Below are 24,514 nucleotides of genomic sequence, written 5' to 3'. Positions count from 1 at the left end.
ATTTAGCGCATAGTTGATTTTTCACATAATGAATTTTTTCATGAAATACTGATTTTTGGAGTTTAATTTTGTTATAATTAGAGTTTGATAACTCTCAGTTTGATAGCAAATTAAAATTAGTAAAAAAAAAAAAAAAGTCATGATATATTTTGTCTTGGCTGGGCACAGTGGCTCATGCCTATAATCCCAGCACTTTGGGAGGACGAGGTGGGCAAATCACCTGAGGTCAGGAGTTCAAAACCAGCCTGGCCAACATGGTGAAACCCCGTCTCTACTAAAAATACAAAAAGTAGTCCAGTATGGTGGCTAATAGGCCTTCTGTAGGCTCAGCTACTCGGGAAGCTGAGGCAAGAGAATCACTTGAACCCGGAAGGCAGAGGTTACAGTGAGCTGACATCATGCCACTATACTCCAGCCTGGGCAACAGAGTAAGACTCCGTCTCAAAAAAAAAAAAAAGATATATTTTGTCTTCATGTAATATTATACTACCCTAAAAAGTACATACATCATGTCTCTTATCATGTGTAACTTGCCTGATAAGATTTATAACAATAAGATTGAGTACTACATTATTTATATTTGTTTATTTATTTAGATATGGGGTCTTGCTATGTTGCCCAGGCTGGTCTCAAATTCCTGGCCTCAAGTGATCCTCCCACTGTGGCCTTCAAAAGTTTTGGGATTACAAGTGCGAGCCACTGCACCCAGCCGTGAAGACTACATTTAAAAAAATCTGTTTATAAAGGCTATGTGTGTGTGTGTGTGTGTGTGTGTGTGTGTGTATAAATATATATAAATATATATAAATATATAATATATAATATATGTATTTTATATATAATATAAATATATACTATATATTTTATATATAATATAAATATATATTACATAATATATGTATTTTATATATAATATAAATATATATTATATATGTATTTTATATATAATATAAATATATAATGTATGTATTTTATATATAATATATATATAAGTATGTATTTTATATATAATATATATATAAGTATGTATTTCATATATAATATATATTACATAATATATGTATTTTATATATAATATAAATATATATTATATAATGTATGTATTTTATATATAATATAAATATATATTACATAATATATGTATTTTATATAATATAAATATATAATATGTATGTATTATATATATAATATAAGTATATGTAAATATATATATACACGTGTGTGTGTGTATGTATGTGTGTGTGTGTGTGTGTGTGTGTGTATATATATATATATATATATATTCGAGACAGAGTCTTGCTCTGTCACCTGGGCTAGAGTGCAGTGGCATAATCTCGGCTCATTGCAACCTCTGATTCTCGTACCTCAGCCTCCCAAGTAGTTCAACCGATTCTTGTACCTCAGCCTCCCAAGTAGTTGGGATTGCAGATGCCCGCCACCACACCTGGCTAATTTTTGTATTTTTAGTAGAGAAGGGTTTCACCATGTTGTCCAGGTTGGTCTTGAACTCCTGACCTCAGGTGATCCTCCCGCCTCACCCTCCCAAAGTGCTGGTATTATAGGCACGAGCCACCATGCCTAGCTGGCCATATGTGTGTATGTGTGTGTGTGTGTATATACATATTTATTCATTTTGAGAAGGAATCTCGCTCTTGTTGTCCAGGCTGGAGTGCAATGGTGCGATCGCGACTCACTGCAGCCTCCGCCCCTCAGGTTCAAGTGATTCTCCTGCCTCAGCCTCCCTAGTAGCTGGGATTACTGGCGCCTGCCACCATACCTGGCTAATTTTTGTACTTTTAGTAGAGATGGAGTTTCATCATGTTGGCCAGACTGGTCTCGAACTCCTGACCTCAGGTGATCCGCCCGCCTTGGCCTCCCAAAGTACTGAGATTGCAGGCGTGAGGCACTGCGTCTAGCCGACCTTATATTTTTTTTAAAAAAAGATTAATTAACCAAATGGTTTAGAGTTTTTCAAAAATCATTCTTGAGTAAACTCATTGAGATTAAATCTTATTTTCTTCTGTCACTGAATCACCAGAAACAAGCCAAGAGAGTTGTTAGTATGTTCTCTGGTATAAAAGCAAAAGCTGACACATCAACCAGACAAACACAACCAAACAGTGAATTAAGTAATGATCTACTTCAGTGCCTATAAACAGTTAATGCTTTGGGTATCCATGTGTCACTAAAAAGCCATTTGTGTATAAACATATTGTTTATGGCTATGTTTTCTGTTAAAAACTAACATGATCACTATAGTAGATTTGGAAACTAAAAAACAGAACATCATTATAATCTTACCATCTTAACATAATGTTTTCATTTTGATTTATTTTACTTCATTTTTTTACTTACAGTAACATAGGCAAACAGTTTTGTGGGGTTTTTTTTTAAGATTTAATGTTAGCATTAATATTTTTACCATGTTTTATAAGAAAAACGTTTAGTGTATGACTAGAACATTTACTTAACTGTTTTTCTCTAATGGAGCATTAGGTTGCTTCTACTTTTTTCGTTTTTAGCAATAATAAAATGTGAATATTTTTAGCATTTGCCTTTTTCAAAAAATTTTCCTCTTTATGATCTTTTTAATGATCATAAAGATCATTAAAGACCTTAAGACACTAAGACCTTAAGTCTTTCTTTGCTTTCTGAAGGAATAAAATCATTATAATTCTCAGCACAAGAGAGATTTTAGGGTGGGTGCCATGGCTCACACCTGTAATTCCAGCACTTGGTGAGGCTAAGGCAGTAGGATTGCTGGAGCTCAGAAGATTGAAACCACCCTGGGCAACATAGCAAGACCTCGTTTCTGCTAAAAATAAAAATAAAAAAATCAGCCAGGCATGGTGGCACAGTGCCTGGAGTCTCAGCTACTTGGGAGGCTGAGTGAGAGGATCGCTTGAGCCCAGTAGAGCAAGGCCGTAGTGAGCTACTATTGTGCCCCTGCATTCCAGCCTGGGTGACAGAGCAAGGCCCTGTTTCCAAAAAAAAAAAAAAAAAAAAGGGATCCTATATTTTATCCTATTATGTATGAATCCTTCCCTGTTCATTCATTCATTATGAGAATGCATCTAGTTGAATCAGTGAACATTTAATATAATGTGGGGTGACAATTATTTTCTTTTCTTTTACTTTTTTTGAGACAGTCTTGCTCTGTTGCCCAGGTTGGAGTGCAGTGGCTTGATCTTTGCTCACTGCAACCTCCGCCTCACGGGTTAAAGCAATTCTCCCTGCCTCAGCCTCCTGAGTAGCTGGGATTACAAGCGTGCGCCACCATGCCCGGCTAATTTTTGTATTTTTAGTAGAGATGGGGTTTTGCCATGTTGGCCAGGCTGGTCTCAAACTCCTGACCTCAGGTGGTCTGCCCGCTCATCTTCCCAAAGTGCTGGGATTACAGGTGTGAACCACCACACCCGGTCTGACAATTATTTTAATCTTAATGCTATTTATAAACTTGCCTCAGATCTTTAATGAGAAGTTTGGTTGGTCTGCATAGTGTTTTTTGTTTTTTTTCTTTGAGACAGAGTCTTGCTCTGTTGCCCAGGCTGCAGTGCAGTGACACAATTTTGGCTCACTGCAACCTCCCCCTCCTGAGTTGAAGCCATTCTCCTGCCCCAGCCTCCTGAGTAGCTGGATTACAGGCACGTGCCACCATGCCAGGCTGATTTTTGTATTTTTAGTAGAGGCAGGGTTTCACCACATTGGCCAGGCTGGTCTTGAACTCCTGACCGCAAGTGATCCACCTGCCTCTTTCTCCCAAAGTGCTGGTATTACAGGCGTGAGCCACCGTGCCTGACCAGTCTGCGTAGTTTTTAACATCAAATGCATCGCTATATTTCCCATTCTCAGGGAATAATGTATACTAACATCAGTCCTCAGAAGTTCCAGTATGGGATTTGATTAAAATATTTAATTACTAACAGGATTATTTCTTTCATCCATAAACAGTTGTAATTTGAAAAGCTGTATAATATTAAGACTTGGAATTAGCTGCTCTTGAGTCAAGCACTCTCACTTTATTAAAATCTCTTAATGATGTTTGCTATTTTAAAAATTTAATTATAGAATTAGCATTATCTAACTTTTAATTTAAATAGATTTGATCATGGTCTTGCCAGTTTTGGAAGAGCTAAGCGTAGTTTGATTCACATTCTCCTGAGTGATTCTCTTTTTTATAGGGTTAATGGAAGATTAGATTTCTGATTGCTGATGGGATATCATTTCTGAATCCCATTAGAATCCTATCTCTGGAATCTCTGCCCTGCCACTTCTTAGATGTGTGACTTTGAGCAAGCTATTATTCTGTAAGCCCAAGTTTTCTCATTTGTAAAGTGGGGAGAAGAATACCTGTTTGTCAAGATTGTTGTGAGTTTTACTTAAGAATTTGAGCCAGAGAAGCTTAATATCAAGCTTAAGTTAACCTTTAGAGTTTTTGTTGATTTTAACAAGTAAAAAAGTTTACTGATTTAAGTATAAATAGTACACTATGTAGTTTGTGAAGATTTTTCTTTTGAAGAATTAAACAAGAAATACTTATGTTGTAACTTCATACTCATGTTTCTTACAGGGTTTAGTTTATTACTGGATGTGTTTTGTGCTCTACATGGACCAAGAGAAAAATGTGTTGAAATTCTGAGGAGTGGCCACTTGTTAGCTATCTCACCAGGTGGAGTTCGAGAAGCCCTAATTAGTGATGAAACTTATAACATCGTATGGGGTCATCGCAGAGGCTTTGCTCAGGTTGCAATTGATGCAAAAGTGGTGAGTTATATAAAATTAATTATTGAAGTAAAGCTTAGTCAAATTTAAAATAAATGGTTAAGTAATGAGCCAAATTGTATAAGAACTTAGACACTTTCGCTGCAATACCTTAAAAATTAGTATGTAGGCCGAGTGTGGTAGCTCACGCCTGTAATCTCAGCACTTTGGGAGGCCGAGGTGGATGTATCATGAGGTCAGGAGTTTGAGACCAGCCTGGCCAACATGATGAAACCCCATCTGTACTAAAAATACAAAAATTAGCCAGGCATGGTGGTGCATGCCTGTAATCCCAGCTACTCGGGAGGCTGAGGGAGGAGAATTGCTTGAACCCAGGAGGTAGTGGTTGCAGTGAGCTGAGATCGCACCACTGCACTCCAGCCTGGGTGACAGAGTGAGACTGTCTCAGAAAAAAAAAAAAAAAAGACTGGAGAATTTGAATGTCATTTTGTTCTTTTACTTTGCCTTCGGAAAGTATTTCTCAGCCTTTTGGTCTCCATATTGTACTTTAGCCTATGAAACACTTATCTATTACCTATGGAAAGTTTCTGCTTCGTTTTCTGTTTATTTTAATTCTGATTGTCAGAAAAAGAAATTACGTTTGATAGAGTATTGTTCTTTTTCCAGGCCAGTTAGAGAATATTGTCAGTAACTTAGTTTTTTAGTTGTATAGAAAATGAATTATGGCACATTTTACTTATTTCCCAGTCTTAAGCACTGACATAGAAAACAAAAACCTAGACTATATGAATAATATAGAATACAAAAGGATATATGCAGTTATACAAAAATTAAGAATAATCAATATAATGTATATGAAAACAATGATAAAAACTAAAATCCTAATCAAAGATGGTTCAACTTTCAAGTTTATATTTTGAAAGAATTGTTTTTTCAAAAGTTTAAGATAAAGATGACAAAAATAGATTTAAAATCACATAAATATGCCATGGGATTCCAATTCCTCATCCTTAAGTTTACATTTTCGGCAACATATTGCTTGGAAGAAGGACTGAAAGAGATAAATGATGCAGAGAAAATAACTCTTTCTAATCCTCGAGTTTCCAGATAATTAATTTAAATAAACTAGATAATTTAATTGAGATTTTTATATAAAACTTTAGAAAGTTTAAGAAATACCTTTTTATAAGTTTAAAAACAAACAGAAATCTTATAAGTTTGATAAATATTGTGCCACCCCAACATCTCATAGCACTTTTAAACACTTTATCTTATACTCCTATTCAGTAAGGAGGTGATGCATATAATTATTCCAATGTTGCAGATGAGGAGACTCAGGCACAGAGAGATGGAGGGATGGAAGGGATCTGGTCATTCAGCAAGGCAGCAGTAGAGCAGAGCACACAGTTCAGAACTCGAGGCAACCGGTACTGTTGCCATTCCTGACTACATTGCACAGTGAGTCTGCTGACGTCTAAGACTGAAGGGGCTTCCCAGATACGTGAGGGAAGTCTTTCAGTAATATATATGTGTATATATGTATAGTTGTAAGTGGCACAAGTATCCCCTCTGGAAAATCCCTTAATAGGCCTCACAAAATTATAAGCTGTGAACAAAATTTAAGGCTATTGTTACAGGATTAACCACATTTAAATTGTAACATAGTAATAGAAATTAAAGGGGAAAAAGCCTGATTGTCAAGGCAAGTTCACAAAATATTGGTAGAAAATATTAAGGTTTATTCGAAAGTGACAGACTTTTTGATATAATACAAATCACCCTGGTTTGTGAATTCTTGAGACTTACAACTTTGGTAAGAACTTTTAGATAACTTCATGTCTACATAAGTTGAGGAGATAACTAGTCCATTTACTGTAATTGTAAAGTAAATAGCAGATATAAAAGAAAATATTTTGTTTCAATAAAATTATATGAATTATCTCACTTTATCCATAAAAACTTTGAGATAGAGATAATTATTATTTATTCCCATTTGATGCATGAAGAAAGTGAGGCTTAAACATGGTAAGTAACTTTCACAATGTCTCCCACATTTTTAGTGACAGAGTTAAGATGTCAAGACCCCAGTAATAGTTTTTAAAAATGTACATTCTCAGCTGGACATGTGGGTTCATGCCTGTCATCCCAGCACTTTCGGAGGCCAAGGCAGGAGGATCACTTGAGGCCAGGAGTTCGAGACCAGCCTGGGCAACATGGTGAAACCTCATCTCTGCTAAAAGTACAAAAATTAGCTGGGCATGGTCTTAGCTACTCAGATGGCTGAGGTTGGAGGATGACTGGAGCCTGGGAGGCAGAGGTTGCAGTGAGCCGAGATCGCACCATTGTGTTCCAGCTTGGGCGACAGTAAGGCTCTGCTTCAAAAAATAAAAAAATTATACATATATATTCTCTCTCTCTCTCTCCCCCCCTTCCTCCCTCCCCTCCCTCCCTCTCTCCCTTGCACACATGCATGCACATACATTACATACAGACACACATTTATATATGTAAGCAATTGAATTCTAGGTTGCTGATGCAACTCCTTCATGTACAAAGTATGCATGAAAGAAGGAATGAAGGCTGAGGTGGGCAGATCACTTGAGGTTAGGAGATCCAGACCAGCCTGGCCAACATGGTCAAACTCTGTCTTTAATAAAAACACACAAAAAAGTTAGTCGGGTGTGGTGGCACATGCCTGTAATCCCAGCTACATGGGAGGCTGAGGCAGGAGAGTTGCTTAAAAACCCAGGAGGCGGAGGTTACAGTGAGCCTAGATCATGCCACTGCACTCCAGCCTGGACGACAGAGCAAGACTCCACCTTAAATAAGAGGAATTAATAATTATATTGCAAGATCAAGTTGGGATAAAGTAATGCTTGTGGCTTTAAGGATGAAAGCTTGCGTGCCAGTGTAGAAACCATATTCCCAGACTATAGTGAGGAATACTGAGCCTGCTAGGGTAAGCTTTCTTTTATTTAGTGGGCCCTAGAAATGTCCAGCTTCTAGAGAGGTAGCTATTTAAGGAATGATATTTCAACAGGAAAGTCTTTAAATGCATACATCAATACAGAATTCTGGGATCATGCCAGTCAGTAGATATAAATCCAGCCATACTGGTTGGAAGTGGCAAATGGTATATGCATGAGCTGAAATATTTCTGTTTCTTCTTGGACATTTTAGGTTCTCAACTATAAAGACATTTTATAACTATTTAAAACATTAGGATTTCAGCCATACTAATATTTTATTTTACAAAACTAGTTTTATTTTACAAAACTAGTAGTGATTTCCAGATAACAGTCTGAATTTTTTACTGAAGAATTCAGTGTCTGAGTATTGTGGAAGCTACCAAAATAATAATAATAATAATAATTAAAGGCCAGGTATGGAGGCTCATGCCTGTAATCCCAGCACTTTGGGAGGCTGAGGCAGGAGGATCCCTTGAAACCAGTTCAAGACTAGCCTGAGCAACAAAGCAAGAACCCATCTCTACAAAAACAAGCAAATAAACTATATTTACTTATATGTATAAATAATTCAGTGTATTTTGTCTTCTTTATCTTCTTGTGTTTTAGCTTTATGAGTTAACTCCATCAAATTTTAATTTCTTCATTTGACTGCTCTTTTTTACTTTTAATTTTTTTGAGACAGAGTCTTGCTCTGTCACCCAGGCTGGAGTGCAATGGCGTGATCTCTGCTCATTGCGGCCTCCACCTCCCGGGTTCAGGTGATTCTCCTGCCTCAGCCTCCCGAGTAGGTGGGTTACAGACGCTGGCCACCACGCCTGGCTGATTTTTGTATTTTTAGTAGAGATGGGGTTCACCATGTTGGCCAGGCTGGTCTTGAACTCCTGACCTCAAGTGATCCACCTGCCTTGGCCTCCCAAAGTGCTGGGATTACAGGCATGAGCCACCATGCCCGGCCCTGACTGCGCTTCTTTTCTTTACCTAACTTCTCCCCTTTTCCTAACTGATTTTGAGATTGCTGCTGTCTATTTCTGACTTTTGTATTCAGAGAATACAAATTAATTCATTTAGAAGCATTGTCTCTTTGCTCTGTTTACTCACTGTTTGTTTAATTCCTCCATCTCACTTTCTGTTAGCACCTAGTGGATTCCAGGCACAGTTCTAGGTGCTATACAACAGTGAACAAAACAATGTCCTTGCAGTATATTAGGCGTCTTCCTTCTGGCGAGAGGAGAGATATAACAAATGATTGGTTAGTTATATGTGAAGTAGTAGGTTTTATGAAGGCTTTGCCTGTAGTCTCTTTCCTTTAGTCCACTGTATTTTACTGTTTTCCAAAGCTTAGTAGGAATAACTTTTAAGCTTATTTAAATATCTCACCTATTAAGCAGGTAATTTTATATTAGGCATTTACTCATGGTTGACTGTAAGTAATGTAATACTCCCCCAACCAAAATTTTATCTATTCTGAAACATCATTTAATTCAGTATATTATGTATATTTTTAAGTGTTTCATTCAATTTTTTATCTATTTTAGTATTCACAGTGGCATAACCTCTTTACATATCAATACTTCATTATTTTATATGTATTTAAGGTTTTCATTATTAAAAATATACTGAATCATTGATATTTTTGGAGAATAAAAATCATGAACTTATTAGCAGAAATTCTCTACAATCAATTATGGAGAATTCTTTTTTTTTTTTTTTTTTTTTTTTGGGAGACAGTGTCTCGCTCTATTGCCCTTACTGGAGTGCAGTGGTGTGATCTTGGTTCACTGCAACCTCTGCCTCCTGGTCTTAAACAATCCTCCCACCTCAGCCTCCCAGGTAACTGAGACTACAGGCACGTACCACCGCAACTGGATAATTTTTACATTTTTTTGTAGAGACAGGGTTTTGCCATGTTGCCCAGGCTGGTCTCGAACTCCTGGGCTCAAGTGATCCACCTGTCTTGGCCTCCCAAAGTGCTGGGATTACAGGCACAAGCCACCGCACCTGGCCAAATTCTTTAATATATGTGCTTTTCCTTTTTGTCTGTGTGGTTGAGTCTTATAGTTACTTTTCATTGATGTTGAGTATTTTAGATTTAATAGACTCACAAAAAATTTTACCAATTCCACGACAGCATCTTGCCAAAACTTGTCATTTAAATATACATAAATTTCCCTTTGGAGCCAGGTGCAGTGGCTCACGCCTGTAATCCTAACACTTTGGGAAACTAAGGTTGGAGGATTGCTTGAACCTGGGAGGTTGAGACTGCAGTGAGCCGTGATCACGCCACTGCAATCCAGCCTGAGCCACAGAGTGAGACTCTGTCCCCAACTCCCCCCGAAAAATTACCCTTAGAATCCCTGCTTGCAACTTTTCTCCAGTGAGCGTACTATTCAGTAGCCCACTAAAGACAATTCAGTTTACCACATTCATTTTATTTAGTGAAATTAATGATTACTGTAATCTCTATTTTGAGTTTCAAGGTTTTATGTGAAATGTTAGGAAAACTGGTCAATGAAATATTATATATTACCACTGGAGGGTAGTGTTTCCAATTTCTATTTTTACAAATGATCAAGTTGAATTTAGTTGATAGACTAATCGTGTGCTTTTATTTTAAAAATATTTTATTTTCATAATATCAAACAGGCCCTCAAAAGTTTGCATAATCACTTTGTGATCCCCTCACGCCCCCATGCTAATGAATTTGTACCCCTTTTCTCTTTCTCCCATGCCAATACTAACGAGACCCGACCCTGCTTAGCTTCTGGGATCAGACGAGATTGGGCATGTTCAGGGTGGCATGGCCATAGGTGCCTTTTCTCTTTCTTAAAAAAAAAAAGTTTGCATTAGTTACTCTAATGGAGACATTGAATGGATTAATTTATTTACTTTTTAATTCAAATTCTCCTTTTCTTTAGCCCATTATTCCTATGTTTACACAAAATATTCGAGAAGGATTTAGATCACTTGGAGGAACAAGTAAGTTCTGATTTGTATGGTTTTAAATTACAATGTAATTTTTAAAATATTTGGGCTGTTGAACCCTACAAGGAAACCTTTTGAATTATTATCTTTAGAAAATGGATATACTATTTAGACGTTTTTCTGTTTAAAGTCCAAATGATAACTAGTTCTACGTAATGACAGTTCTTAATGCTGAATTTTTGTTGAGAGTACATATACACACTGAAGTTCTTCAAATGGGCTTTTAAAAACTTCACAGTGAATTAGCTAGTTTATTGTTTTAAACCATGGTGACAAGGTTTAGAATACATTTACAAACTATCCCAACAATCTTTTTAACTCACCCCAGAAGTTACAGCTTTAAAAATGGATGAAAATATGATATTGAACTAAGATTAACTACCTAAGGAAATAGCATTTGCTTTGGTTTATTTGTCACTTCTTGTTGTTTTTAAAAATATTTTGTAGCGGCCGGGAGCGGTGGCTCATGCCTGTAATCCTAGCACTTTGGGAGGCCGAGGTGGGTGGATCACAAGGTCAGGAGATTGAGACCATCCTGGCTAACGTGGTGAAACCCCGTCTCTACTAAAAATACAAACAAAATTAGCTAGGTGTGGTGGCGGGCACCTATAGTCCCAGCTACTCAGGAGGCTGAGGCAGGAGAATGGCGTGAACCAGGGAGGAGGAGCTTGCAGTGAGCCGAGATCGTGCCACTGCACTCCAGCCTGGGCGACAGAGCGAGACTCCGTCTCAAAAAAAAAAAAAAAAAAAAAAAATTTAGTCTGTCAGTTTGTTTTTATATTACTACCACTTTTATTTAATCCTGGTAAATTTCATGTTTGGTCATTAGTATTAGTAGTTATTTGCTTTGATGTGTTTTTCCTAATTCATAATATTATTTTGTCTTTACCTAGTTTATTTTGCATTATAGTCTCATATTTACATAAATTTATTCTTCCTTTTTTTGGTCTTTTATTTATCTAAGTTACTTATTTGTGAGACTCTATAGACTTTTTCACCTCTAGTAGTTTGGTAGCAGTTTAGCCTTTGTTTTGCAATAATAGTAACTTGTTTGCCTTTTAAAATTACTGTATTTTATTTTTATTTATTCATTGTTTACTTATTTTTGTTTAATTCCTGTACTTTAAAAGCTCATTTTAAAAAATAATTAATAAACTTTTTTGGGGGGCATTTTTATGTTTATAGAAAGTACAGAGAGTTCTCATAAATCTTCTCACCATCCCCTAGTTTCTCCTATTATTAATATCTTGCATTGGTGTGATATATTTGTTAAAATTGATGAAAAGCTCTTCTTTTTAAAAAAATTGTATTAATTGCCAAGAAGTGATACTTTTTGCCACCTTCCTGTAAGTCCTACATAATTAATTTGAAAGTTTACAGTTACATGGTCAGAATACTTAACAAGTTAAAATGATTGTATTTACTCTAAAACAGGGTTATTTAGGTGGCTTTATGAAAAATTCCGCTATCCATTTGCTCCAATGTATGGAGGTTTTCCAGTGAAGTTACGGACCTATTTAGGCGACCCCATTCCGTATGACCCACAGATAACAGCGGAAGAATTAGCTGAAAAGGTAAATTGCTTTTTCTTTTTTAGTTTTAGGACAGATTTTTATTTTCAATTATTATATTTTGAATCTCATTGATTTATTTTTATATTCTACAAGCATGTCTAGGTCAGTGGTTCTCAACCAGAGGTGATTGTATACCCTAGGGAACATTTGCTAATCCCTGGAGACTTATTGTCACTACAGGCAGGAGTTGGGGCCGTGAGGGGAGTGCTACAGACATTTAGTGGGTGGGGGCCAGTGATAGAATTTATGGTAACTTGTAGGATAGGAATATATTCCTATGCATAGGTTTTTGGAAATATTGGACTGGAGTTTGGGAGAAAGTCAGAATTGATGATGGAGATTTCAGTCATTTGCACTGAGACAGTTACTTAAGCCATGAGCTTTACAAGGCAGGTGAGAAAGAAAGAAAAGTGCTGAGAACAGACTTCAGGAGATGTAGCACTGAAGGAGAAGGCCAACGAAGAAGTGCCAGAGCTGACTGAAAGAGAACTGGCAGAGAGGTAAGAGAACAAGTAAATTTGTGTGACAGAAGTCAGCAGGTGAGGTTTTAGTAAAAAGTGGGAATGGTCAGTAATGTTAGTTTTTGCAAAGAGATGAAGGAGGATAAAGAGGAGAAAAGCCTGCCTGCCTCATAATTATACTTTCAGAGAGTATAAAACTACAAAAAAAAAAAAACCCTACAAATGTCATGTTCTCCTTTTTTTCTTTTTTACCCCATTCTTGTTAAATGCAATAAATGTTATGTTAACTGAATCACTTAGAAAATGGGATGAATGGGCCATGCTTGGTGGCTCACACTTGTAATCCCGGCACCTTGGGAGGCTGAGGTAGGAGGATATCATGAAGCCAGGAGGTCAAGGTTACAGTGAACTATGATTGTGCCACTGCACTCCAGCCTGGGCAACAGAGTGAGACACTGTCTCTCAAAAAATAAAATGGGATGATTATATTTTGATTATGACTTTTATATAGTCTTTGGTATATATATAGTCTGATTTATATTTTAAAATATAAATTATGGTAAAAACATTATGGTAAAACATATGGTAAACACATAATATGGTAAAACATAGTAAAACAAATTATGGTAAAAACACATACATGTACTATCTTAACCATTTTTAAGCATACAGTTCAGTACTGTTAAGTACATTCACATTATTGAGCAACAGGTCTCTAGAATTTTTTCATCTTGCAAAACGGACTATACCTGTTGAACACCAACTTCCCATTTCCCCTTCCTCCAGCTCCTAGCAACCACCATTCTACTTTTCTAAGACTTTGACCACTTTAGATACCTCATATGAGTGAAATCATACGGTATTTGTCTTTTTGTCATTGACTTATTTCAGTTAACATAATGTCCTCAAGGTTCATCTATGTTGTATCACGTGATAGGATTTCCCTCTTTTCTTTCTTTCCTTTTTGAGACAGTCTTACTCTGTAACCCTGGCTGCAGTGCAGTGGTGCAGTCTCGACTCAATGCAACCTCCGTCTCCCAGATTCAAGTGATTGTCGTATCTCAGCCTCCCAAATAGCTGGAATTACAGGCATGCCCCACCAGTTTGTACTTTTTTACTTGGTACAAGTCTATACATTTTTACTTTATATACTCAAAGTCTATGCTTTTTTACTTGGTATTTAACTCCCTTCATGATTTAATTGAAATTAATTTTAAAGCCTTACCTTACCCAGCTTTTGAATACCTGAAACTCCAGTAAAACTGGCTAACTCACCATTCCTTACACAGTGGTTTTCCTGGACTCTTTTCTTCTCATGCTCCTTCCTTTACCATTATTGGAATATTATGGGTCCCTGGAGACCCGCACCAAACAATACCCTGTTCATGTGTCCTCCCCTGCTCACTGCCTACCCAGTGGGCTCTCAGGTCTGAACTTCTGAACACTTTCTTTTCACACTTCAGATGGTATGCATCACCAATGATCTCACATTTTAGTTACTTTGTACTTGATTCTTCGTTTTAAGTTATGAGCTCCTTGAGATTAGAGATTTGTTTCACTAATATTATAATTTCCAAAGCATCTAATATTTTTCGAATGAATAAATAAAATTCTAGAGATACACTTAATACACATCACGGAACACAACCTCTGTGGCAGTCACTGTGTTAAGTACCTGAAGATGTCCCTTCAGTTTCATTTAATCCTTATAACTGTATGAAGTAGTTCTCATTTTACAGGTATGAAAACTGTGGTTTAGAGGGGTGTTTTTTGTTTTGTTTTGTTTTGAGACAGAGTTTCACTCTTGTTGCCCAGGCTACAGTGCAATGGCGCGATCTTGGCTCACTGCAACCTCCGCCTCCTGTGTTCAAGCGATTCTCCTGCCTCAGCCTCCCAAGTAGCTGGGATTACAGGCATGTGCCACCACACCTGCTAATTTTGTATTTTTAGTAGAGACGGGGTTTCACCATGTTGGTCAGGCTGCTCTCGAACTCTTGATCTCAGGTGATCCACCCACCTCAGCCTCCCAAAGTGCTGGGATTACAGGTGTGAGCCACCACGCCCAGCCAAAGGGGCGTATTTTTATAATACATCTTTGGCCTAGTGTTTATTTTCTTTAAAGGTTAAAGTCTAGAAAAGGAAGTATATATGTATGTAAATACATAGTTCATGATGACTCATGCCTGTAATCCCAGCACTTTGGGAGGCCAAGGCAGGAGGATCCCTTGAGTCCAGGAGTTCGAGACCAGCCTGAGCAACACAGTGAGACCCTGATATAATTGTTCAGTATGTATGGTGATAAAAGAAAATATACATTAGAATTTACTAATAGCTGGAAAGGACTAAGTCTTCCATTTGCCTACTCGAAATTTTTCTATTTTTTTTCCTCTTTAAGTCCCCTTTAGTGTTTATCATGTGCAAGGTGTTGCTGTGCTTAATGCTGGAGAAATTCTAAGATGTATCTTAAGGAGCTTACAGTCTGATATAGAAAATAGACACGTGGACAACAACTATAATTGAAGGCTTAATAAAATAAGTATAAGAAATATGCTGCAGCCAGGCACAGTGGCCCATGCCTGTAATCCCAGCACATTGGAAGGCCAAGGTGGGAGAATTGCTTGAGCCCCAGGAGTTCGAGAACAGCCTGGGAAACATAGTGAAACCCCATCTCTATAAAAAAGAGAAATATATAAGCTTCAGGTGTACTGAGAAGGAAATCATTAATTCTGAGGGGTAATGGGAGATAAATCAGTCTATATTAAGATCTACTAACAATAGCTTTTCTTTTGTTTTCTTAATAGACGAAGAATGCTGTTCAAGCTTTGATTGATAAGCACCAAAGAATACCAGGAAACATTATGAGTGCTTTGTTAGAACGTTTTCATTGATAACAAAGGGTCAACTAGAAGATGATTTAGTACATTTATATTAAATGTTTGTATCTAAGGTACTGTCTTCTGAATTTTGTAGGTCCTATAATTAGTATTTTTTAAAAAAATCATGTTAATAAGCATCTTTCACAGAATTCGTTTCTTTAAAATAGTCAATTTTGTTTTTGCAATTGTGTCAAATACTAACAAATTACACACCTAGTAATTCAGAAAAAGATGTCTTATTTGTAAATTCCTAACAATTTATGCTAAACATATAGATTCTTAAGTTTATTAATAACAGCAGTTTAGGTTAAACAAACATTCCTGGATAATGCGTTAAATTTCTGTATCTGTCGCCCTGAGCTGATTTTGAAAGATGGTATAAGCTAGGGGTTAGTATAGTTGTTTAAGTTAGAAAAAACATGCTGTTGTCTGCCCCTCATTCCCTTCATGACCTTGGGCAAGTCACGTAATGTTTTTGTGCCTCAACAATTCACTTTTTAAAAACATGATCGTATGATGAATGATATTATTTTGTTATTTATATTTACTGTGATTGATAACTGTTGAACCAAAATAATAAAATAATTAATTTAAACAATGTCAAAATCCTTTAGCAGTTATGTATATATTTTCTCCATTGTGTGTTTAAATTATGTCATGTCCAGTTGCCAAGCACAATGAAAAAGATGTATTATTTTTTAAATTGAATAAAAAATTAGGAAAAATAAAATTTCTAATTATTATTTTTAGTATGATATTTTTAACAAGAGTCTATAGGCAAACAATATAGGGTGTGCTGTGCATTGTCAGCCCTATACTGTGGTCTTAATAATGCCAGCTTAAAAATCACTGTTGTGCTCTGCATTTCGTGTGTTAGAAGCTGATTCTAGGCTGAGGAAAGCAAGAGTTCTCTACTTTTGCTCAATATTGAGGCTTACCCAGTTTGACTCTACAGCCAGTGAAGTGGTTTATTGCTTCAATAAAAATATACTTGAATGATGAATTTATTTATGTTTTGTTTTGTTTTTATTTAGAGATGGGGTTTTGCCATGTTGGCCAGGCTGGTCTTGAACTCCTGACCTCAGGTGATCCACCTGCCTCAGCCTCCCAACTTGCTGGGATTACAGGTGTGAGCCACCATGCCCAGCCTGAATGATGAATTTATGTGAACACAAAGCCCTCTGAAAAATTAATGATTTTCAATTTGTTGTCTTCTTGAAAACTGAATTTAAGTATTATTTAAACAGAAAAGTGTCAGAAATCAAATGCAGTATCTCCCTCTCCCTTTTTTAAATGTTGAATTAGTAGGGTTTTTGTATAGCTTTTTGTATTGTGTGTATTTATGATATGTGAAATGTACATAAAATTAAACAATGTGAAAATAAACCTGAGTTGCAGTTAATTTTCTTGAGAAATTACATGTGACATTTTAAAAATCTTTTTTTTTTTTTTTCTGAGATGGAGTCTCGCTGTGTCTGTTTCCCAGGCTGGAGTGCAGTGGCACCATCTTGGCTCACTGCAACCTCCGCCTCCCAGGTTCAAGCAATGCTCCTTCTGTCTTCTGAAGGAGCCTCCTGAGTAGCTGGGATTACATGAGTGTACCACTACACCTGGCTAATTTTTGTGTTTTTAGTAGAGACAGGGTTTTACCATGTTGGCCAGGCTGGTCTTGAACTGCTGACCTCAAGTGATCCGCCCACCTCAGCCTCCCGAAGTGCTGGGATTACAGGTGTGAGCCACTGCGCCCACCCTAAATAGTCATTTTAAATTGATTTTTTTGTTGTACTCTTTACACATTTCTCACCTATAATCATATTCTTTGATCTAGCCACAATGAAGAAACTTCACTTTCCAGTGTAATAAATATATTTTAATTTTGTGGTCAATGAGAAGAGTCAATTAATGATTACTTGCAGTTTCCTCCCCCCACCAGTGAGCAGTGTTTGGTTCAAAATTGATGAAATATTTCAGAATGAATGAATAAATGATATAAAATGAATGAGAAATTTGTTTTGGGTCAACTATTGAGTTTTAAAGACTGAAGTTAGCCAGGAGTGGTGTCATGAACCTGTAGTCCCAGCTACTTGGAAGGCTGAGGCGGGAGAATTGCTTGAGCCCAGGAGTTCGAGGCTGCAGTGAGTCGCAATTGTGCCACTGCACAGCCTGAGTGATAGAGCAAGCCCATGGTTCTATTAATAAAGACTAAAGAAAGAACAGCATTTATTGCTAATGTGGCAAAAGCTATTATTTTTACAATATTTAAGTTTTACTGCTTTAATTAAAACCTTTTTTTAAAACCCTGATATTCAGACTAACATCATTGCTTCAGATCTTTATCTTTGCTATTTGAGTTTAATTCCCATTTATAAGAGTCAGAGAATATGACTAAATATAGAAATATGGCTGGGCATGATGGCACACACCTATAATCCCAGCACTTTGGGAGGATTGCTTGAGGCCAGGAGTTTGAGACCACCTGGACAACATAACAAGACCTCTTATCAAATAAAATTTTTTTGTTTTTAAATTAAGCTGGGTTCAGTGGCTCACACCTGTCATCCTAACACTTTGGGAGGCTGAGGCAACTGGGTCACTTGAGCCCAGGAATTCAAGACCAGCCTGGGTGAAATCCTGTCTCTACAAGAAAACGCACAAAAATCGGCTGGGTATGGTAGTGCACACCTGCAGTTACAGCTACCTGGGAGGCTGAGGTGGAAGGTTGAGCCTGGAGAGGTCAGGGCTGCAGTGAGCCATGATTGTGCCACTGCACTCCAGCCTCAGCAACAGAATGACACCCTGTCTCAAAAAAAAAAAAAAAAAAAAAAATTAAAACAAAAGAAATATAAGTAATGGGAAGAAGGTGTATCAGTTTTTTTTCATAATTTTTCTTTCCCTTCTTATCACTTCTATTCATGTGTCTTGACCCTTTTTTGAGGAGTGTTCACAGTCAGAACCTGATGCAAGTATGAAGAGCCTCTCTCCAGAAGTGTAAACATGGCGCACTTATGGGAAGTTTTTCTTGCTCATTTTTAAAAACTTTCATTCTGAAACAATTCGAAGCTTACAGAAAAGTTGCAATTATAGTGCAGAGTACTCCCATACACTCTTCACCCAGATTCACCAAGGTAACATGTCACATTTGTTTTATTCTTTTCACACTCCTGTTGCCCTCGCTGTCTCCACATATGTATCTATACTTTTTCTCCTAGATCATCTGATAGTAAATTGCAAATACCATGCCCCTTACTGTTACCTGGACTGTGAGATCATCCATTTACAGAACCACAAGACAATGATAAAAAAAATCAGGAAAATCTTGATTGATATAATACTATTATCTATAGACTGTATTTAAATTTCACCAGTTGTCTCAGTAATATAATTTATATCAATCTTTCTTCCTGATTCATCCAAGGAAGGATCACACATTGCATTTAGTTTTCCTATTTCTTTAGTCACCTTTAATCTGGAATGATTCTTCAGCCCTTCTTTGTCTTCAATGATAGTGACCTTTTTGGAGAGGGGGGACCATTTATTTTGCAGATAAGCCCTCATTTTGTTTTTGCCTCACATTTCATTACAAGTTGATTCAGACTATGCATTATTTTAGAAATACAACATGAATGATGCTGCAGCTCTGTCCAGGGCGTCACATCAGGTGGCACATATGTTGGTTTGTGTCATTAGTGGCAATAACTTTGATCACTTGGCTGAGATGGCATTCACCAGGTTCCTTCCCTGTAGTTGTTATTTTTTTCCCTTTGTAATAAGGAAGCTTATTTTGAGATTCTTTGAGACTGTCTACAGTCATGCATTGCTTAATGATGGGAATATATTCTAGAAATGCATCGTTAGGCGATTTTGTCATTGTGTGAACATCATAAAGTATACTTACCCAAAGCTAAATGTATAGCCTACTACACAAATAGGCTGTATGGTATAGCCTGTTGCTCCTAGCCTACAAACTTGTACAGCATGTGACTACTGAATACTGTAGGCAATTGCAACACAATAGTATTTTGTGTATCTAAACACAGCTAAACTTAGAAAAGGTACAGTAAAAATAAGGTATTATAATCTTATGGGACCACTGTTGACTGAAACGTTACTATGTAGCACATAACTGCATGTAGCTGTTCCTCATCAAACCTTAACTAGTTAACTTGTTTTAGCATCTTTTGAATTGATTCTTGTGTGAATAAATTATTACTAGGGATTCAAGAGTGTGATTTTCTCATATCCTATATTTACTAGTTGGCATTCTTTTTTTTCTTTTTTTCTTTTTTCTTGAGACAGGGTCTCACTCTGCTGCGGGCAGTGGTGTGATCTCGGCTCACTGCAGCTTCCTGGGTTCAAGCAATTCTCATGTGTCAGCCTCCCAAGTAGCTGGGATTACAGGTGTGCGCCACCACGCCTGGCTAATTTTTGTATGTTTAATAGAGATGGGGTTTTCATGTTGGCCAGGCTGGTAGTAGTCGGCATTCTATAAGAAAGAGCATTCCAATTTCAGTATCGTGCCCCCCCACCCCCACCCCTAGGCTTTTAAAAATAATTTCAACTTTTAAATTCAGAGGGTACATGTGCAGGTTTGTTACATGGGTATAATGTGTGACTGCATGACTCTGAGGTTTAGGGTATGAATGATCTCATCCTAGTACCTAGGACCCAACAGATAGTATATCAGCCCTTAGCCTTTTTCCCTCTCCCCTGTAGTAGTCCCCAGTGTCTGTTGTTGTTTCCACTTTTATGTCCATACCCTTAGTTTTTCTTTCTTTCTTTCTTTTTTTTTTTTTTTGAGGCAGGATCTCACTTGCCCAGGCTGGAGTGCAGTGGTGTGACCACGGCTCATTGCAGCCTCGACCTCCCCAGGCTCAGGTGATCTGCCCACCTCAGCCTCCTGAGTAGCTGAGACTACAGGCATGTGCTGAACCCCCAGGCTAATTTTTGTATTTTTTATAGAGATGGGGTTTCATCATATTACCCAGGCTGGTCTCTAGCCCTTAAGCTCAAGTGATATGCCCCCCTTAGCCTCCCAAAGTGCTGGGATTACAACTGTGAGCCACCGTGCCTGGCCACCTGTATTTATTACAACATTTCTCACTTATTTATCACTTACAAGTATTTTCCCTCAAATATAATTGGGGCATGATTCGTTGACTCATTGGCCATTGGTGATTAAACTCAATCTGTAGCTCCTCTCCCTTCTCCTGAGGTAGGGATGGGGATGGGGCTGAAACACACACACACACACACACACACACACACACACACACACACACACACACAGATACACACCACATTTTGTTGATGAATGTTTGGGGTGATTGGTGTACAAACGTGTCTGAGTCTCTGCTTTTAATTCTTTTGGGTATATACCTAGAAGTGGGACTGCTGTCTCATATGGCAATTCCACATTTAAGTTTTTGTAGGAACCACCTGTAAACCAAAAATAAATTTCTGAGGCCCCTTGATAATAACTCTTTTAACAAATTGCCATCAGAAAAATTAATAATCTACATATGACCCCCCCGATTCCAACTTCTAGTTGTCCTGACCTTCCAGATCAAATCAATGTAAATCTTACATGTATTGATTGATTGTATTTTGTCTCCCTAAAATGTATAAAAGCAAATTGTACCCCAACCGCCTTGAACACATGTCATCAGGACCTCCTGAGGCTGTTCATGGGTGCATCCTTAACCTTGGCAAAATTAACTTTCTAAATTGATTGAGACCTGTCTCAGATACTTTTGTGCTCACACAGCAAACTTCCACAGAGACTGCATCATTTTACATTCCCATCAGCGATGCACCTTTACTAACACTTGTTATTTTCAATTTTTTTTGACAATAGCCACCCTATGACTAGTGGTGAAGTGGTATCTCACTGTGGTTTTGATTTGCATTTCCCTAATGATTAGTGATGTTGAGCATGTTTTCATGTGTTTAGTGGCCATTTGCATATCTTCTTTGGAGAAATATCTATTCAAGCCCTTAGTCCATTTTTGGATTGGATTGTTTTGTTGTTGATGTTGAGGTTTTGGAGTTCTTTATATATTCTGGATATTAATCTTTTATCAGATATATAATTTGCACATATTTTCCTCCTCTTTGTAGGTTGTATTTTTATACTTCAATAATGTCCCTTGATTAATAAAAGTTTTTAATTGTAATGAGATCCAATTTAGCTATTTCTCCTTCTTCTTCTCTCTCTCTCTTTTTTGGGCCTATGCTTCTGATGTCATATCCAAGAAATAATTGCCAAATTCAATTTTATTAAGATTTTCCCCTATGTTTTCTTCTGAGAGGTTTTAAGTTTAGCTGTTACATTTAGGTCTTTAATTCATTTCAGCTAATTTTTGTATATGATGTAAAATAAAGATCCAGTTTTTTTATTTTCCTGGTGAATATCCAGTTTTCCCAGCACCATTTGTTGAAAACACTATATTTTCCACACTGAATGATTTTGGCATTCGACTGAGCATATATGCAAGGGTTTATTTCTGGGCTGTTTATCCTTTTTTTTTTTTTTTTTTTGAAATGGAGTTTCGCTCTTGTTGCCTAGGCTGGAGTGCAATAGTGTGATCTCGGCTCACCACAACCTCCGCCTCCTGGATTCAAGCGATTCTCTTGCCTTAGCCTCCTGAGTAGCTGGGATTACAGGTATGTGCCACCACACCCGGCTAATTTTGTATTTTTAGAAGAGATGGGGTTTCTCCATGTTGGTCAGGCTGATTTCGAGCTCCCGACCTCAGGTAATTCACCCGCCTCGGCCTCCCAAAGTGTTGGGATTATAGGCGTGATCCACCACACCTGGCTCTGGGCTGTTTATTTTATTCCATTGGTCTCTATGTTCTTGTGTCAATACTATACTGACTTGATTACTGTAGTTTTGTAGTAAGTTTGGAACTGAGGAAGTATGAGTCTTCCAACTTTGTTTTTAATACTCGAACACTTCTTCCCCCCCGCACCACATTTCCCCCCATATTGTTTTGGCTATTTGGTGTCTCTTGAATTTTAACATGGGTTTTTCTATTTCTGCAAAACCAAAATGCAAGCCATTTGGATTTTGATAGAGATTGCATTGAATCTGTGGATTGCTTTGGATAGTATTGCCATCTTAATATTAAGCCTTTCAATCCATAAACATGGGATATCTTTTCATTTATTTACATCTTTGATTTCTTCAAGCAGTGTTTTGTAGTTTTTAGCATACGAGTCTGTTGTCTCCTTGGTAAAGTCTATTCCTAAATATTGTATCCTTTTTTATGCTATTGTAAATGGAATATCTAGTTTCTTCCTTCCTTCCTTTCTTCCTTCCTTCCTTCTTCCTTCCCTCTCTCTCTCTTTCTCTTTCTTTCTTTCTTTCTCTCTCTCACTCTCTCTTTTTTTCTCTCTCTCTCTTTTGAGACAGGGTCTTGCTCTGTCACCCATGCTGGAGTGTGATGGCACAATACACAATCATGGCTCACTGCAGTTTTGACCTCCTGGACTCAAGTAATCCTCCCACATTATCCTCCCAAACAGCTGGGACCACAGGTGCATGCCACCACAACTGGCTAATTTTTAAATTTTTTGTAAAGGTGGAGTCAGTCTTGCTGTGTTGCTCAAGCTGGTCTCAAACTCCTGGCCTCAAGTGATCCTCCTGCCTTGGCCTCCCAAAGAGCTGGGATTACAGGCATGAGCCACCACACCCAGCCACAACTGATTTCTGTGTTAATTTTATATCATCAACTTTGCCAAGTTTGTTCGTATATTAACTGTAACAGTTTGTGTGTGTGTGTGTGTGTGTGTGTGTGTGGTTTGTATATTAGCTATAACAGTGTGTGTGTGTGTGTGTGTGTGTAATCTGCAGATTTGTAACTTTTAATATAATGTTATCTGTGAACAAAGATAATTTTGTCAGAGGCATTTGAACCAGAGTGACTCCATTTTGAATAGGGGACAGGTAAATTGAGGATGTGAGCTGCTGGGCTGCATTCCCTGGAGGTTAGGCATTCTTAGTCACAGGATGATATAGGAGGTTGGCAGGACTGGTGTGACAAGATACAGGTCATAAAGACCCTGCCAGTAAAACAGGATATGGTAAAGAAGCCAGCCCAAACCCACCAAAACCAAGATGGCAATGAAAGTGACCTCTGGTTGTCCTCATGTTTATTGTACACTAATTATAATGCATTAGTATGCTAAAATCCCATCCTTTACCCAGGATAAAATTGTCCCACCAGCACCATGACGGTTTACAAATGCCATGGCGATGTCTGGAAGCTACCTTATATGGTCTAAAATGGGGAAGAACCCTCAGTTCTGGGAACTCCCCACCCCTTTCTGTGAAAACTCATGAATAATCCACCCTTGTTTAGAATATATTCAAGAGATAATCGTTAAGTATACTCAGTTCAGCAGCCCATGCCACTGCTCTGTCTATGGAGTAGCCATTCTTTTGTTTCCTTACTTTCTTAATAAACTTGCTTTCACTTTGCTCTATGGACTTGCCCCAAATTCTTTCTTGTACAAGATCCAAGACCCCTCTCTTGGGGTCTGGATTGGGACTCCTTTCTGGTAACATCTTTCTAGTGAACTGCAAAAGGATGATCCTGGAGAAACCCCCAACCCAAAGGAAATAGACTGCAGTGCTGGGCACAGTGGCTCATGTCTGTAATCCCAGCATTTTGGGAGGCCAAGATGGGTGTATCGCCTGAGCTCACGAGTTTGAGAACAGTCTGGGCAACATGTCAAAAACCACATCTCTATCACAAATACAAGAAAATAGCCAGGTGTGGTGGGGCGTGCCTGCAGTCCCAGCCACTCAGGAGGCTGAGGTGGGAGGATCACTTGAGACTGGGAAGTGGATATTGCAGTGAGCTGAGATTGTGCCACTACACTCCAGCCTGGGTGACAGAGTGAGACCCTGTCTTAAAAAAAAAAAA

General features: G+C 37.7%; 1 protein-coding gene and 1 pseudogene across 8 annotated transcripts in view; one reads left to right on the top strand and one right to left on the bottom strand.

The window, feature by feature from the left end:
- TMEM68 (transmembrane protein 68) overlaps positions 1-16,970 on the top strand; it is a 34,621-nt gene extending 17,651 nt beyond the window's left edge. For 4 of the 8 annotated variants that reach the window (NM_001363177.1, NM_001286657.2, XM_047421361.1 and 1 more), the window contains 4 exons: positions 4,571-4,764; positions 10,607-10,667; positions 12,108-12,247; positions 15,510-16,970. In NM_001363177.1, the coding sequence (NP_001350106.1) occupies positions 4,571-4,764; positions 10,607-10,667; positions 12,108-12,247; positions 15,510-15,596 (482 nt within the window). In that variant the 3' untranslated portion in view covers positions 15,597-16,970. Of the gene's footprint in view, positions 1-4,570; positions 4,765-10,606; positions 10,668-12,107; positions 12,248-15,509 lie in introns of those variants that run through there. The other 4 variants (NR_156454.1, NM_001286661.2, NM_152417.3 and 1 more) reach the window with 4 other exon arrangements.
- On the bottom strand, positions 10,386-10,496 carry RNA5SP265 (RNA, 5S ribosomal pseudogene 265; annotated as a pseudogene).
- Positions 16,971-24,514: the final 7,544 nt, after the last annotated feature.

Source organism: Homo sapiens, chromosome 8 (assembly GCF_000001405.40).
Source record: "Homo sapiens chromosome 8, GRCh38.p14 Primary Assembly".
Taxonomy (NCBI): domain Eukaryota; kingdom Metazoa; phylum Chordata; class Mammalia; order Primates; family Hominidae; genus Homo; species Homo sapiens.
This window is presented reverse-complemented; position numbering and strand designations above follow the sequence as displayed.